The sequence below is a fragment of the Homo sapiens genome, chromosome 13 (assembly GCF_000001405.40).
Source record: "Homo sapiens chromosome 13, GRCh38.p14 Primary Assembly".
Lineage (NCBI taxonomy): Eukaryota > Metazoa > Chordata > Mammalia > Primates > Hominidae > Homo > Homo sapiens.
In genome coordinates, this window is record NC_000013.11 from 107553374 (window position 1) to 107570541 (window position 17168).

The following is a 17168-nucleotide window of genomic DNA, read 5'->3' on the forward strand; positions in this document are numbered from 1 at the left end:
TATTAGACTCATTAAAATTGCACTGTGCTAAGAATATAGCTACATTTTAGGCAAATGTTTATACTGTATATAATATGTTCCAGGAATTATAAGAGAGTATTTACATGTGTAATTTTATCTTCGAATAAAACCCTTTCAATTGCTTCTGAAGTTAGCATTATGATTTACTATAGATTTTTATGATCTAAAGTGTATTTACAAATTAATGTAATTTGCTTCTCTTAATGTCCTAGTTGAATTGTCATATCAATAAAATCTCACCAATCAAAATATTCATTTGGCATTTAAATTAAGTTAATTAAGCTTCATTAATTTATAGATACCTTATGGATATACTACAGCAAATAATTAGTTAAGTCACTTAAGTTATGCCAAACAGAGCCTCTTCTGTCTCTGCTTCAACTTTAAGAATCCAAGACGCGAGTATCTCAGAGCCCAGAGGAGCAATTGCGCTTCCTCCATCCCTACTTTGCCTCTCAGGGTTCATGTTAGTACTTATCCTATCCCCAATTCTACTTTAGTTAAGTAAGTGCCTGGCAAAGTCCACATCGTCTTTAAAAGAGCATATCCATGCACTGACACAGCCAGAGAGTCATCAGTCAGATTCTCACTGTCCCCGCTTACTTCATGGCTACATGCCATGGAGCTATCCAGCCCTGAGAGCCTTAGTCCCACATCTGCAAATGCAGATAATCCTGTGAGCTCATGCAGCTGTATGGGTAAGTGGGTGACATGACAGCAAGCTCCTGACACTACGTAGGGTTCCTGATGTATGGCAGACGCACTCTGAGCTGAGCCCGGAGCCGAACTCGAGGCTGTGCCACAAGATGCAGCTGATGGAGCCCCAGGCTTCTCTTTGCAGGAAGCTCCATTTTCAGATTTCTGTAGAGAAATTCAGAGTATAGAACTATGTCTTTCCTTCTGTCCCGTTCCACAGTCAAAGGCCAGAAGTCCGGGGGGAAAAAGCTAGAAGGAAAATACTCCTTTAGTGAGAGAGTTTGTGAGGCCTGAGTCAGAGAATCTGCTACTTCAAAAAGAGGGTGAAGAAGGTTAATGCAGAGTTAGTCAGTTCTGCACAAAACACAGGGTGCCGCTGGCCAAGGAAAGACCCAGGCCAGGCAGTGCAACCAGTCCTCAAGAACCTGTGCAGCCCGGGGACCCAGGGAGCCTTCCCCTTATCAGAGGCCCAGAGAGGCTGAGAGAGAACGGAAGCCCAGACCCAAGAACTGGCAGGGAGTTGCCAAAGCAGGCCCTGGCCCCCATCAGATTGGATGTATTATTTACACAGGTTTTAATGTCAGAGTTTGCAATGTAATCTCCCTTTGTAATTGCTTCTGACAGTGGCTCACCATTCACATTTGCTACCCGCAGTTTTATGTTGTGTCTGTGCAAGTTTCTCGACCTCTCCAGCCACCACTGAAGCATGATAAATATTGCCCTTCCTCCCATGGAGGGAAGGTTTTGGTCTCTGCAGAATTCACAAGCAGGCTGGCTTGCAGGGTATAACTCCAGAGTACGGAAGGAGGAGTGTAGAGAATGTCTAAGTAGAGGAGGAACTAACAACTGTGCAGAAGAGCTTTGAGCCTAACCTGTCCGGGGAGGCCTCTGCTGAATAACATTTTTCTCTCTTCTAAATATCACAGGTAAAAAAGGCAAGGTTGTGCCGTAAAGCAATCACTTTAATTGGAGTGATCATTGCAATTCTCTAATTACTTAAATTGGCAGCAAACAAAATAATCCAATTGATCATTAAGCAGGCTGCTTAATTATATTGTAATTCACCACCCGAACCACGAGAATAGGGCTCCAAACTGGATATTACGCATTTCTTCATGCAAGTCATCACTCAAAACTTACGTTGTGAGGGGAGAAGATGTTTGATTTATTATTAATTAATTAATTAATTAATTAATTTTGAGACAAAGTTTCATTCTTGTTGCCCAGGCTGGACTGCAATGGTGGGGTCTCAGCTCACTGCAACCTCCGCCTCCCGGGTTCAAGAAATTCTCCTGCCTCAGCCTCCCAAGTAGCTGGGACTACAGGTTCCTGCCACCAAGCCTGGCTAATTTTTTTTTTTTTTTTTTTTTTTTTTTGTATTTTTAGTAGAGACGGGGTTTCACCATGTTTGCCAGGCTGGTCTCAAACTCCTGACCTCAGGTGATCTGCCTGCCTCGGCCTCCCAAAGTGATGAGATTATAGGCGTGAGCTACCACGCCCAGCCAGATGTTTGATTTTAGTAACAAATTTAAAAAACAAATGTGGGAAACTCTTTAGAAACCCAAATTCACTTTGGGTAACAATCATTAACTTTTTTCTGCTTATTCAAATTGCTTTATTGTTAATCAGTGCATCATTTATCGGTGTCATCATCTCTATGTATAATGAAAAAAATGTCACTATATTGGGGAAAGCCTCTTTCAAATAAAAAACAAAATATGCTTATTGGAAAATTTTAGAAGAAATTCTACCACCTGCAAGCTTATATGGTTATATAAAAATCAATACCCAGCAAAAAAGATAATATTTTGAGAATATTGTTGAAATCAAACTAAGAGCCTTAATCTTAAGTAAGTAAAATAACTTCCTTGAGAAATAGTTTAAATTTTACTATAAAATTATTATTGAATATTCTCATATTCTAAATCAATAAATTTTATTTAAGTCTATGAATGTATTATCTCTTCAAAACAGAGATATATTATTCACTTGAAAGTAATTCTGGTTTTATATTTAAGCTAAACTTGTTTCAACTGAAGAGAACCTGACCAATTTTATACATATAAGATCTCTTATGAAAGAGGGACATGGAAAGATGGGGTATTGGACACAGATGTGGGACTGATAGTCATTCCTTTTGCTTATCTTCAGAGATGTGCCTCTCCTCTCTCTCTCTCTCAACATATATATATATATATATATATATACACACACACACACACACACACATATATATATATACACACACATATATATATATAGAGAGAGAGAGAGAGAGAGTCTTAGAAAATAATATTTGGATCAGAACTTTTTTCCTAGTTTCCTTTAACATTAAAACTCGAGAACTTGAGGCCTTGCAGAGCCACACTGAATTCATTATCTGTTTATTTTATTTTTATTTATTTACTTATTTATTTTGGGATGGAGTTTCACTCTTGTTGCCCAGGCTGGAGTGCAATGGCGCCATCTCGGCTCACTGCAACCCCTGTGTCCCAGGTACAAGCTATTTTCCTGTCTCAGCCTCCCAAGTAGCTCGGATTACAGGCATGCACTGCCCTGCCCAGCTTTTTGTATTTATTAGAGACGGGGTTCACCATGTTAGTCAGGCTGGTTGCGAACTCCTGACCTCAGGTGATCCACCCGACTCAGCCTCCCAAAGTACTGGGATTACATCATTATCTGTTTTATTGTTCAATAGTTTCTTCAGAATAGGCTCTGCTTATCTGTCAAGTGTTTGGTGGAATATGATGAAGAAGAAAGACAAAGAGGAGGAGGAGAAAAGGGAGGAGAACTAGGGGGATTAGGAGGAGGAAGAGGAGATGAGAAAGAGAAGAATTAATCTCCTAAGAGATGGAAGAGAAGCAAGTGTATTCAATACTACACAAATTGTATAATGTGATTTTTCAACCTCTGAAATATCATGTGTTGGGTTATGATTTAGTGTACAACAGTACATCTTCCCCAAAATAGCAGAGCAGTTTAATCAGATTTTTACATATTTCAAAAAGGTAGTATCTGTTCTTTAGTCATTTTTGATGGCCAGAGCCTAGCTTCTTGAAAAAAAAATGTTTTGTTAGGTTTGTTAGGTGTTTCCTTGAAGAACATTCGTTCACTGAAATTTAGGGCTTACTATGCATTGTAACCCTTTTAGCACAGAAGTTACAGCAGCAAACAATGCAAACAAACAAGCACAGTCCATGTTGAATTCTTAAATGTGACTCTTGTAGAAGCAATCTTGATGGGGTGGTAATGCTAATTTCACATAGCCCCTATCACATTTGGGGAAAAGATGGAAACTTTGGAAAGGGGATGGGGTGACGGTTTGCATACCGTGGGGAAGGCAGAACCTGCTCTTTGCTGACAGAGCCAGGAGCAGTCCAGCAGTGTTGTTAGTAGGTTTGGCCTACTAACAACACTGCTACCAGCAGAAGGGACACTGGAAGCCCCTTTTGTGCTGGCACCAGACCACTGGACTGCTCCTGGCTCTGTCTCTGCTGCTCTGGAAAACTGATAATGGTCATTTCTCTTTGGATTATTTTGGTTTCTCAGAAGCACAGCCTTTTTGAGATGGAAGAAAACACATTTTGTGGAAAGGAACACTCAGACCCAGAAAGTTTCGGTGGTTTACCTAAAGCACAAAATCCATGGGTCCCAAATCCCATCTCCATATGCATTCTCCATGCCACACTGTTTTAAAAATACAAGTGAAAAAGCAAGCACGGACACCCATGCAGCTGAGGAACCGAAAAGAGGCTCTACATCGACTCTAATTTTTCTTTATTCTGAAAATAATATATTTCAAGTTTTATCAAAAATGCCTACTCTCAGTACCGTGTCTGTGCACTAATGTTGTGCGTTGGTATTCTTGTGGGATGTGTCACTGTTGTGCTGATTGTTCATACTGGAAAGGTGTCGGCATTCAGAGAGACTGAGCACAGGAAACACAACCCAACCAACCCAAGCTGCGTCCCTGTTGTCTACACGCAGGTCACTGGCCTAATGATTCTGAGATTTTTCCCTGAGAATCTTCCAAGAAAAAAAAAAAAATTCAAATGTTGATGAAGATGAGTTCAGAAGGGAGAAATTGCTCCAAAACATCACAGAAAATTAGTGGTAAATCTGTGAATATTCCTTGAGTCTCTTTTTTTTTAGTGTTTGTGTTACCAATTATTTTATTTGACATATTTTCATTACTTCTAATTGTACATTATTATTTATTCATTTTTATCAATCTTTTTTAGAAGTAAGCTCTTCTTTGTTCTTTTCAATAGCACAAAAATTATCATTGAAATTGGGCCAGTCTGACAGCTATATGTATAGTATAGTATTCCAATTTGCTAAAATTTATCCCCAAATATGGTATTCCACATTTCTTGAAAGAAAATACTAATGATCCCACAACAAATAAAATACTAAGAGCAACCGTGGTTGCCTATGCTTGTTTTCACAGAATATAACTAAATCACTCCTTACTCTCACCTTTGGTTTAAGGTATGGCTTGAACTGGAATTTGGTTTGACGAGGTAGAGGTGGTGGAAGACATCCGGTGGTAGTAAATTTTATGTGTCCATTTGACTGGCTAATGCCCAGATCACGGGTAAAACATGATTTCTGGGGTGTTTCAGGGCGTTTCCCAGAGAGATTAGCATTTTACTCTGTAGACTGAGTAAAGATGACCTGCCTCGCCCCTGCCTGTGGGCATCAACATGTCTGTCGAGGTCCTGGATTGAACATAGGCAGAGGAAGAGCGAGCTCTCTTTCCTCTTGAGCTGGGACATCCATCTTTCCTTGTCCTCAGATGTCAATGCTCCCAGTTCTTAGACTTTTGGACTCAGACTGGGACCACACCCTTGGCTCAGTGCTGTGGGGTCAGTGGGCCTGGGCTGGAAGGAAACCGTGGGCTTTCCTGGCCCCCCACCCTGCAGGGACCAGATCGTGGGACTTCTCCGCCTCCATGATGGCAGGAGCTGATACTTCATAACAGATCTCTTTCTGTACATGCATGTATCCTATTGGCTCTCTTCCTCTGTAGAGCTCTAATACACACCCCATGTGGAGGAGACGGCAGCAGAGAGGAGACGCCATGCTAAAAACTCAGCCAGTGTTATTAAAGAAGGGGTAGTAGAGAAAACTTCAGGGAGTAACTCCCAAAGTTTGCATGGTATAAAAGACACAGAAAACAGTCCGGATAAGGAGTGAATCTTTCATTGCTCGCTTATGTATTTTGCCTCATGACAATAACAACAACAAAACAAAACAAGTTAAGGCAGCTAGCAAAAATAAAAAGAGTAGACTACAATGTTAGAATAAAGGAAGAAATAATGAGAAAGGGAATAAATGCAAGAGAAATAAGATTAAATCAAGAGAAAAGTAAAAAACCAATAATATCTCATTTGTTTCTATCTGAGCTTCCTAGACTCAAAGTAAGGAAGGGAACCAGCTCAGGCTGAGGAGGCATGCGGTCTGCAGAGGTTGTATACGGTGTCCCTGTGCATCCTTAGGTGTTCTGGGGAGGAACAACTACTCATCAGGATAGACATTTCTCCTCTGCGTCCTTATAAGCGCTGTCAAGGCCATGTAACGAACTATCTATTCAGCATCAGCATCAAACCTTTGCAACAACAGCAAAAGCTTTAGGGTTGCTATTTGAATGTACACTCACACACACTCATTCCCAGTCCGAGTTTAAAAGTCCATTATTCTTTGATGTTCATTAATGGTAAACTCAAATTAAAAACTAAAATTAACACAGAATTTTTATCCTAGGAAAAAGATAACAACGTGAAATATATCGCTATTGGTGAGATATAAAGGAGAGACATGGCAGAGATGGAACCAGCTTGGACTAAAGGGGGATCCACCGGCCGAGGAAGGCAGGTAGCCCAAGGAAGGAGGCGGAGATCTTCCCAAGGCTTCCCTCCATAGAAAGGAAGGAAGGAGAAATCATTAAGCAAGAGAAGGGCCATTTAACCAGGGAAATCACCAAGTTTTTTGGGATTAGGGCTAAGAAGACAGTCAGGGAAGACAAGCTGGTTTGGAAACATTGACTTTGAAACGCCCGTAGAATTTTCAAACAGAGATAATCGAATTCACAGGTTTCCAGGAATGTGCATTTGGAATTGGCAAAGGAATCTGCTGAAGAAGCTAAAGTCAATAGTGGATTCCAGAAAAGGAGGAAAATGAGGATGGGTCTTCTGCAATGTAGACTGGATGGGACTAGGGGGGAATGTTTGGAATCCAGAGAGAAAAATGATAAACCACTGAATTGAATAAAATACCCAAGGACTTGTCTGATGATTTCTTCCAAGAACACTACAAATAAAAAAGCAAACTAGATACTGAAATTATGTACTTAGAAATGTCTTTCTCACTCCAAATGTAAATATATTTTATGGTTTCTTTCAGTACTTTAAAATTTTATTTTTCATTTAGTTTTTTAAAGGTTCTGAACTATATTTTTAATATAGTATGATGTACTACATTGTCATTTTAAATGGAGAGCAGTTCACCAAAACTATGTCATTATTAGTATGTTCTTTCTGCTCATGTGTTTATCATGTAAATTCACATACAAGCACACATGCACACTCACACACACTCACACAGAGGTATTTGTAATCTATGCTCCCCCACTGGTCTACTGGTGTTCTGCCAAGGCCATTTATTTTTATATTTTAACATCTTTATATTTGTTAAGGCACAGAAACCAACCTTCTTAAAAAAGATTGTTTGAAAGTCTTCACTGTCAACTTTGTGTGTACAGGATAATCTCTTCACCACGGTTGTGAAGAATGCTAAGAAATTATTTTCAACATTCCTTTTTCTAGTTTTGTTTCCTAATACCACCCACCATTAACCCCGTATGTTTTCCAAAAAACAATTTTTAAAACTATTCTATGTCAGTTCATTATTTTGTGTCATTATACACGTGTTCTAAGTGTTAAATGTTGAATGCCCTTGTCAGTATTTGTTTCTCTGAAACATTTATGCCTTAATACCCACTAAGGTCTTATTTCCCAAGAACAAGGATATTCTCCTACAACAATGCAGTTATCAAAGTCAGTAGATGTAACAGTCACATGATATTTTCATCTAAGAAACATTTCATATTGCAATTTTAACAAATATCCCGAAGATTTCCCCTGTTCTGATGGAGAATCGAGTCCAGGCTCACATGTTGTACTTAGGTGCCATGTCACCTTCGTCTCCTTTTAGTCTGAAATGCCTCCTCAGCTTTACTTGTTTTTTCCTGACATTGACATTTTGAAGGCCAAAAGTAAGTTATTTTATAGAACATCCTTCACTTTGGGTTTTTCTTATGTTACCTTGTGATTAAGTGCAAGTGTTATGTTCCCCACCAGAATAACAAATAACTATTATTTGTCAGAGTATCATATCGGAAGGACTCAGCGTCTGTCTCCTCCCATCAGCAATGGTAATTCTGAATTACTCAGCCAAGGTGACGTGTGAGATTTCCAATACAGTCGCTACTTTGCCCTTTAACTAATAAGGAATCTTTGGGGAAAAACTTTGAGAACATGCAAATTGCCTATTCCCTGCCAATCTTTTTAGTTTGCAAATTCCTACCTATTAATTTTTAAGATTACCATCTCCTCTGTATGAAAGTTTCACCAGTCACAGATAATGATTATTTCATCTTCCCCACTTCCTGTGAAGCCTGTCCATGTCCCTGTCATAGGACTCATGGTAAACCTGTGTTTGCATAACTGTCTCTTCCATATTAACTTCTCAAAGGCAGAGACAACATATTGCTAGCCGTTAACGTGCTCAATGTTAAGAACTACTTGCATTATTTATTAATGGACTTAGATCGTATCAAAAGAAACTTTCCTAGGTTTGTCATTTTAGATTAACAAGATAATATGCAAAATGGAGCCTGCTTTGTCATCCCTTGAATTTAAGAATATTTAGTAAAACTGTATTCCTAATGTATAACAATGGTTGCCTAGTAGTCTATCTGAACTTCTTTCTAAATATGATTTTGCTGTTTTGACCTTGCCTTGACATCTTGGAAATGCAAATATTATATTTTACTTCAGGATCCACTGCTCTGTAGGGACACACTTTCTCCCATCTCATTTCAAAGGTATACAACTCATGAAATTCCTGCATGCTGGCATGCATGTGATCTTCATTGTCATTCTGTAACACAGGCTATTTTGAATGAGTCTTATGCTAGCATCTGTGCAGTTTTATTTCTAAGAGAAACGACAGTCAAAGGCGTGCTTGTAATTTGTATATTGTATCCTTATGTGCCACTCATGTCTGATCACAGGACTGTTCTGGAAGATAGGAGATTGTAAGCTCTGCAGTCCCTGGACTCCTGCTGGCTCCGACCCTGCTGTGCCTCCTCTCCTGCTTTGTATGCATCCCAGATCAGTCGCAGCACAGGGGTCTGTGAAGATACCTGATATCAATACAAACGTTTCCATTTTATTTTGCTCTGAAAAAATCAGTTGATAAATGCTGTGGATGGATGTGGATCTTTAAGCTGTCATCTGCTTCTGTAGAATCTCCAGGTGTCAGCTGACAAATGTGAACTTCAAAATAACAAACATAATGCCATTTGTTTCCAAGACCATACGAACTCATTCTTTAGACATCTTTTGACTATGCCTTGTGCTCCTGGCTAAAAGAGCAACCAGAATAAATTAAATGTGGTTCTTAACATGAAGGAGTACCATGCAATAATCTGATGAAACAGGAGTGAGTGCTATGAGTGCTCTTTTTCATTTCACGGAAAAAATTACCTTCCAGGCATTTCCCAGTTCCCATGAGGAGTTTCCTCTGTGTTCCACTTCCTAACTGCCAAAGTTGACTTTTGAAATGTTGGAGCTGAGTCCTTCTTAAAACTTACATGAGTAGGCTTTTTGAATTCAGAGGTTGGAAGGCTTCTTCAGATGAACAAGTTAATGTAAGTAAAATAGGTTTAATGAGTTTTTACAATTGTTTATTCACGTTAGATTAATAACAACAACAACAAAAAACCATTTACTGAGCACAAAATTTAAGCACATTCCTTGCTATTTGAGCAGTGAAAAAAAATGAAGGAGAAAACACTTTTGCCGCAAGGAGATTCCAGCCTGCTGGGGAAAATGGCAACTTCACAGGGAAGCTCAGCTGTGGATGACAGTCAGAGCCCCCAGGTCAAAGATCATCTCTCACAGACTGTGGCCTTAAAAACAGGCCAGAGCACATTGATCCGTTGTGACAAACAATCACTGCTGTATTCCTACTGCCGAAAGTGTGATACAAGAAACACCAGCATCAACATCATTAGAGAGCTCCTCAGAAAGGCAGCATCTCAGCCCCCAACTGAGAACTTGAGATGGGAATCTGCATTTTAACGTGTTTTTCAGGTGATTTGAGTGCAAAATCCTATTTGAGAAGCCCTGACACAGCAATTGTATTCTTTTATTTACACTTCAAATAGTGACAGATATTTGCAAAGCTGATTTTGTAGAAAAGATTGTGACGTATCCTGCAGAAATATCATTTATGTATTCCCACAAAGCACTAGTGTCCTTTACTTCTGTCCCTCTTTACTGAAAGTCTTTGAAGACATTGCAGCTAAATAGCCCTGTGCAGTTACAAGGAAATCAAAAGAAAACATTACCATTCTGGTCACTGGCAGCAGCACCAGCTGTTATGTAATTTTGTTATAAAGCTATTTCCTGCTACTGGAGGGTTTGAAATAACATTTACTTGTATAATTTTAATTCCATTTAGTTGATCCATCCGGGGCCAAATAAAAAGCATAAATTAATCCACTATGAATATGTCAGGCAGATAACCATTTTAGAATACGAGAGAATTAAAAGTTGTTTACAAATAATTTATAGCCTTATAAAAGTACCTTTACAAGGATCTATAAACATTCACTGAAAGTCCCATATTTGGCCCCTTATTGTTCAGGAGAGCAGCATTTTCCAAACTTTCATGGTTCTTAGCACTTTGGAATATACGAGATGTATTGGGAAAGATGCTTGGAAAGAAGAAACAACTGAAAGAATGGAGATAATGCACCATCCTGATGGAGTCTGGGGTAATGAGGCTTTCTCTATTTCTGCAATCTAAAAGTTCATCCCTCAAATTTAAATATGCAACTGATCAATTTCAAGGACTTTGTAGCTATATAATCCAATGATTCTAACTTTATTTTTTTGTTTGTATATGTGTGCATGAAAGTGAGAGACACAGATTGATTTACCAAAAATCTTATTCCCTCATATTGGGAAACTGGACAAAAGAGCAGCAGTTGCCAGTCATTCTTCCAAGGTCTCCCTGTCTTCCCACCTGTCCTGGAGTAAAGCAAACATCAAACCACAGCCTTTCAACACGTAGGTCGTTTTAAGTGGGTGCACCTTTCCTAGTTCACCCTGGTTGTTCTTGCTCATCCCCAGTGTAATAAAGACCAAACCTAGAGTCCAGGCCCCTAGTTCTTGGAGTTTTATTCTTGGAGGCTGGACGCTGATATTCTTCTGAGTAACTCAGACAAACGCTCCACATATAAAGTATGGATGCCACTTAAACACTACAAACTGCTATGGTCAAAGCCTCCATACACCTTCCTCCCTCTGTCCAAGAAAGGCCCACTGGCTCTAAATCAGCTGAAAGTTTATTCTTCTCTCAAGCTGGAAGAGTGTTGGTGGCAATAGGACAGGGCTTCTCTTTGGGTCACTTTTCCAATCTACAGTTCAGCTAGCAGCAATACAGTCTCTTCACCCTCCGGTCTAAGAGCCATTAGGGACCTCAGCCCAAATTCCCCCATACAGGTGAGGCTGACACAAAGCTTGAAAGGCAAAGAATTAAGGTTGCCTCTACTACTGGGACCACGTGCGGCCACTCAGCACAAAAATTTCCCCACTTGAAACATGGGCAGGAAGGAGGTGAAAGCAGGAAACAAAGCTGCTGTATAAACACAAAGAAGTAGGAAACAAGGGGTGATATCTGCAAAAAAAAAAAAAAAAAAACCTAGCATAAGTAAAAGACAAAAAAAAAAAACAGACATAAACAACCATTATAAAATAAGAGTGTCATACAACAAAAGATATAGGAATTCAAAAGTTCCTGAGAGAAAAGACAAAAATGACCCCAAATAAGAAATTTTTAAAATTAAGGGGCATGGCCAGGAGCAGTGGCCCACACTTGTAATCCCATCACTTTGGGAGACTCATGCCAGAGCGTCCCTTGAGACCAGGAAGTCAAGGCTCCAGTGAGCTGCCATCGTGCCACTGCACTCCAGTCTGGGTGGCAGAGCGAGACCTTATCTCAAAAAAAAAAAAAAAAGTAAAAAAGATTAAGGACTATAATAGGATAAGAGCTCTAGGAAGGTGATAAAGTATGCCCAAAAGAAAGCAATGTTCTAATAAAAACAAAATAAAACAAAAACTCTATTTTCCATGAACCAGAGAAGAAACACGAAGATATTTTGAGAAGAATGCAGTCCCGAGAGTTGAATAACCTCTTTTCTAGGCCTGATCTGACACAAATTCATTCTCTGATTCTAGCAAGTGGTGATTCTCAGTAGGTTTCAATTTCCCCATCTGCAAAATGAGACCGTGCCCATGAGTCTAAATCATGTGTGTGTACATACATGTGTGTATGAGTGTATCAGTCTCAGGTTATGGCCTCTGTAACTTACAACCATTAATTAGAGCTTTCTCCTTAATCTGATTGTTCTTGAATGTTATGAACCTATAATACTTTGTCCAGGCCAATTTCTGAATTTTCCTATGAAATTTAAAATGATTTAACTTGGAACTCCTAGCAGCCTCTTGCAGGAAAACATCTCCATCATTGAAATTTCTGTTTAAAACAGAAACGAAATGTTCCCAGTCCCCAAAGCAGTGTAACATATCACTGGCTAGAACGTAGATTTTCAGTTAAGAGATAATTATATTTTTCAAGATGGGGTAAAACAATATGATATTTATTGCTCAAACATCATAAGTTATAATTTACCTCAGTGTAGGTCAATATATTCTTTCCTGTTGAAAGGCATTTCTCACCTGAAGGCAAGAATTGCTACAAAAACATTCATCCACAATGATAGGGAGGCTTTTATAAGAGGCATTTCACAAAAGATATTCACAATGTTACAGGCAAGGAGGGGTTTTATGGGAGGCTTGAGCAAAGTACATTATTTGGGAAATAAGGTAACCTGCCAGCATCTTTCGCATGCTGCAGATTTGTGCAATAACTAATATAAACATAAATAGCTACCATAACAGAGAGGTGAGGAAGTCTCTGTAGTCACAGAAGAATCTCTCTGAAATGTAATGACTGTACTGGGAGCAACTGTAGTGGTGCAATGGCCCTGGAGTATTAGCTCAGTCAGCCAGAAGCACCCAGTGCTGTCTAGGTCCATCGGCTGGATACCCTTTCAGAACACTAAGCAGCCAACGTGATCCAACAAGAAGCAGGTCCAAGGGCACTAGGCAGGCCACCCTAACCAGAGCCTCACCAACCTCACGGAAAGGGGTTCGCACGGTAACACCAGATTCACGTTGTGGTTCCGTTTCAGACATCTTCAGAATGTGCTTTAAATATGTCTTTTATTTGCATACCATTGATCCAGGGATGCTTTTAATCCTTTCTAACGAATGATTTTGTCATATTTTTTTCCGATTTCCAATTTCATAGAGTACCATTAGGTAATCCTAAAGAGAGCTGTGTGAACAGAGTGGATTTGACATTTGCAGGCATGATCCACTTTTTAAGGCTGGAGAACCCCGAGGCAGTGCCCTGAGCGGCTTCTGTCCAGGCCAGCTGCCCAACACGGATATATTAGTACATTTTGAGTCAATGTATTCAAAAGACTGCTGTATTTTGGTCTACAAGTTGATGCCAGGGTTCATTTTATTTTATTTTTCCTATATTTTTTCTGATTAAAAGAAAAAATTACAAAGGCATAAAAATAACAAATATTAAAGACAAACATAATGAAAGAAATGAAAAAATGCTACACTCCTGAAATAACTGTCTTCAACAGTTTAATGAACATTCTTCCAATTTTGTCCTTATATGTGATAACGTAGTTAAAATTATTTTTTAAAAACTCAGTTTCATATATTTGTTTTAAAATTAAAATGAGCTATATGTACACTATCTGTATATATACATGCTGAATATAGATTCTTCCCCATACTTACCAAAATGTATTAGACATATTTTAATTGATAGCAAATTTTGACAATTTATGACGATCTCATCTAATGTTAATATTATATTTAGCCTTTTTAAAAAATAAAAATAAAAGACTTACTAGGACCTCAAGTCAGAAATTAATTAGACATTAAGCAACAACATATATTGGCCTGATTGTCTACTTGACATGACACCCAACTTCACATTTTCTGTTAACTTTTCACTTTGAAATAAATACAGATTCATAGAAGGTTACAGATGACTACTCAGAGAAATCTTGTACATATTTTCTACAACTAAGGTAAAATTCAAAACCAAGAAACTGACATGTCTAATACCCCTAGAACTTGTTAAGATCTCACCATTACACATGCACTCTTCTGTACTTGTGGTTGAATGGGTGTGTCTGTAGCTCTATGCAGTTGTTACAGGTGTAGCTTTGAGTAACCACCACCAAAATCAAAATACTCTATCTAGCATTAACACGAATCTCCCTAAAATTACCCCTTTATAGCCAAACCCACCCTCCCATCTCTAACACCTGCCAATCCCTAATCTGTTCTTCATCTCTGTGATTATGTTAGTTCAGAAACGTTACATAAATGAAACTACGTGATTTGTATCCTTTTGAGAAGGGCTATTTTACTCTGTAATTTCCTTGATAGTGATCCAAGTTGTTATTTTTGTATACCAATGTTTTGTTCTCTTTTTATTTATTGTTTATTTTTGAGACAGTGTCTTTCTCTGTCTGCTGGGGCCCAGGTGGGATTGCAGTGGTGTGAACAGGGCTCACTGCAGCCTTCACCTCATGGGCTCAAACAATCCTCCTGCTTCAGCCTCCGGAGTAGCTGGCACATCACGCATGCACCACCATGCCTGGCTAATTTATTTTAATTTTTTCGTAGAGATGGAGTCTCACCATGGTGCCCAGGCTGGTCTCTAGCTCCTGGGCTCAAGGAATCCTCCCACCTTGGCCTCCCATAATGTTAGGATTATAGGTGTGGGCCACCATACGCAGCCTTGTTCCCTTTTTATTGCTGGACAGTTTTTCATTCTGTGGATATACCACATGGTGTTCAACCTTTCTCTCACTGAAAGACTTTTGAATCATTTCCTGTTAGGGGCTATCACAAATACAGCTGCTATGAACATTCAGGTTTAAGTTCTTGCATAAAAATCAGTCTTTATTATCTGGAATGTGTGCCTCAGAGTGCAATTATTGGGTTGTATGGTATGTCCATTTTTAGTTTTGAAAGGCAGTACCAAACTATTTTTGGAATAGCTGTACCATTTTACGTATCCACTAGCACTATATGAGAGATCCATTTTTTATATCTTTACCAGCATTTAATGTTATTCCTATTTATTATTTTAGTCACTCTAATAGATATGTACTAATTTCTCATTGTAGTTCTAATAGCCATTTCTCTACTGGTTAATGATGAAGATCTTTTTATGTGCTTATTTTCAAACTGTATATCCTATTTAGTGAAATGTCTGTGCATGTTTTTTGAGTATTTTTAACTGGATTTTTTGAATGTTGAATTTTGAAAGTTCTTTATATATTCTAAATACAAGGTCATTGTCAGATATGCAATTTGTAAATATTTTCTTCCAGTCTGTGATTTTATCTTTATAACAGTCTTTTGCAGAACATTTTTTAAAATATTGATTAAACACAATTTATCAAGTTTTCCTCTATGGATTATGCTTGTGATGTCCAATCTAAGAACTATTTGCCTAGTTTTAGGTAGCAAAGATTTTCTCTGTCCTTTCTAAAAGTTTTATAGTTTTATATTTTAAATTTACAAACTATTTTGAGTAAGGCGTGGGATTCATATAAAGTGTGAGATACAGGTCAAAGTTTATCTTTCCTCTTTTGAATATCTAATTGCTCCATAACCATTTATTAAAAGTGCTACCCCACAGCCAGGCGTGGTGGCTCACGCCTGAAATCCCAGCACTTTGGGAGGCCGAGGCGGGTGGATCACGAGGTCAGGAGATTGAGACCATCCTGGCCAACACGGTGAAACCCCGTCTCTACTAAAAAAAATACAAAAAGTTAGCCAGGCGTGGTGGTGGGTGCTTGTAGTCCCAGCTACTCGGGACGCTGAGGCAGGAGAATGACGTGAACCCGGGGGGCGGAGCTTGCAGTGAGCCGAGATGGCGCCACCGCACTCCAGCCTGGGCGACACAGCGAGACTCCGTCTCAAAAAAAAAAAGAAAAAAAGGGCTACCCCTCATCCACCGAATTAGTTTTGTTCTTCACCAAAAATCTGTTTGGCATAGTTCTGTAGATCTATTTCTGGATTCTTTATTCTGTTCCATTTATCTATGAGTCTATCGTTCTGTTGGGGGTGCACTGTATTGATTACTGCATCTATCGAGTAAGATCTAACATCAGGAAGAGTGATTCTTCCCATTTTATTCTTCCTTTTCAAAATTGTCTTGAATATTCTAGAGTCTTTATCTTTTCACGTACATTTTAGAATTAACTTTAAGTTGTCTGTTTATAAAGAAACATGCTGAGATTTTAATAGCAGTTGCCTTAAACCTGTCTATCAATTTGTTAAGAATTGACACCATTAGTATATTAGTCTTCCAATACATGAACATGATATATCTAATTGTTTAGGTCTTCTTTGATTTCATCATATAGATCCTGTACATGTTTTATTTTCCTTTGAAAAACTGCAAAGACATTGTATTTTTTTTAAAAAAAATCTCTGTTTCAATTTGTTCCTTGATAGTATAAAGAAATTCAATTGACTTTTTTAGGTAACTTTTGGTTCTATGACCTTATTGAACTCATTTATTAATTTTAAAAAGTTGTTTTAATTGCTGTACACCTTGGTGTTTTCTATAATCATGTCATCTACAAACAGAAAGTTTTACTTCTTCCTTTCCAATGTATATGCTTTTTTTTTTCTTGCATTACAGCTGAGACTAGAACTGCCAGTGCTATATTAAATAGCAGTGAGAAAAGCAGACATCCTCATGTTAATTCTGATCTCAGAGATAAATCATTCATTCTTCCACCATAAAGTATGATCGTAGATACAGACTTTATATTGATGTTTTTAATAAAGCTGAGGAAGCTCTCTCTATTCCTAGTATAATGACAATTTTTATCATAAACACGTACTGAATTTTGTCAAATGTCTTTTCTGTGTAAATTGATATGATCCCATAATTTTTTCCTTTAATTTTTTGATACGATGGATTAGATTGATTTTCAAATATTGAACCAGCCTAGTATTCCTGAAATAAATCCCACGTGC

At 38.4% G+C, this 17168-nt stretch overlaps 1 protein-coding gene and 1 long non-coding RNA gene across 2 annotated transcripts in view; both read right to left on the reverse strand.

Annotated features, from left to right (window-relative positions):
• The window catches only part of LOC112268110 (uncharacterized), a 31815-nt gene extending 29872 nt beyond the window's left edge, over positions 1-1943 (reverse strand). The window contains exon 1 of the long non-coding RNA XR_002957493.2: positions 1-1943. This exon is cut by the window's left edge and continues 26106 nt beyond it. This is a non-coding gene — a long non-coding RNA (uncharacterized LOC112268110).
• The window catches only part of NALF1 (NALCN channel auxiliary factor 1), a 703987-nt gene that overhangs the window by 389864 nt on the left and 296955 nt on the right, over positions 1-17168 (reverse strand). The window lies entirely within an intron of this gene.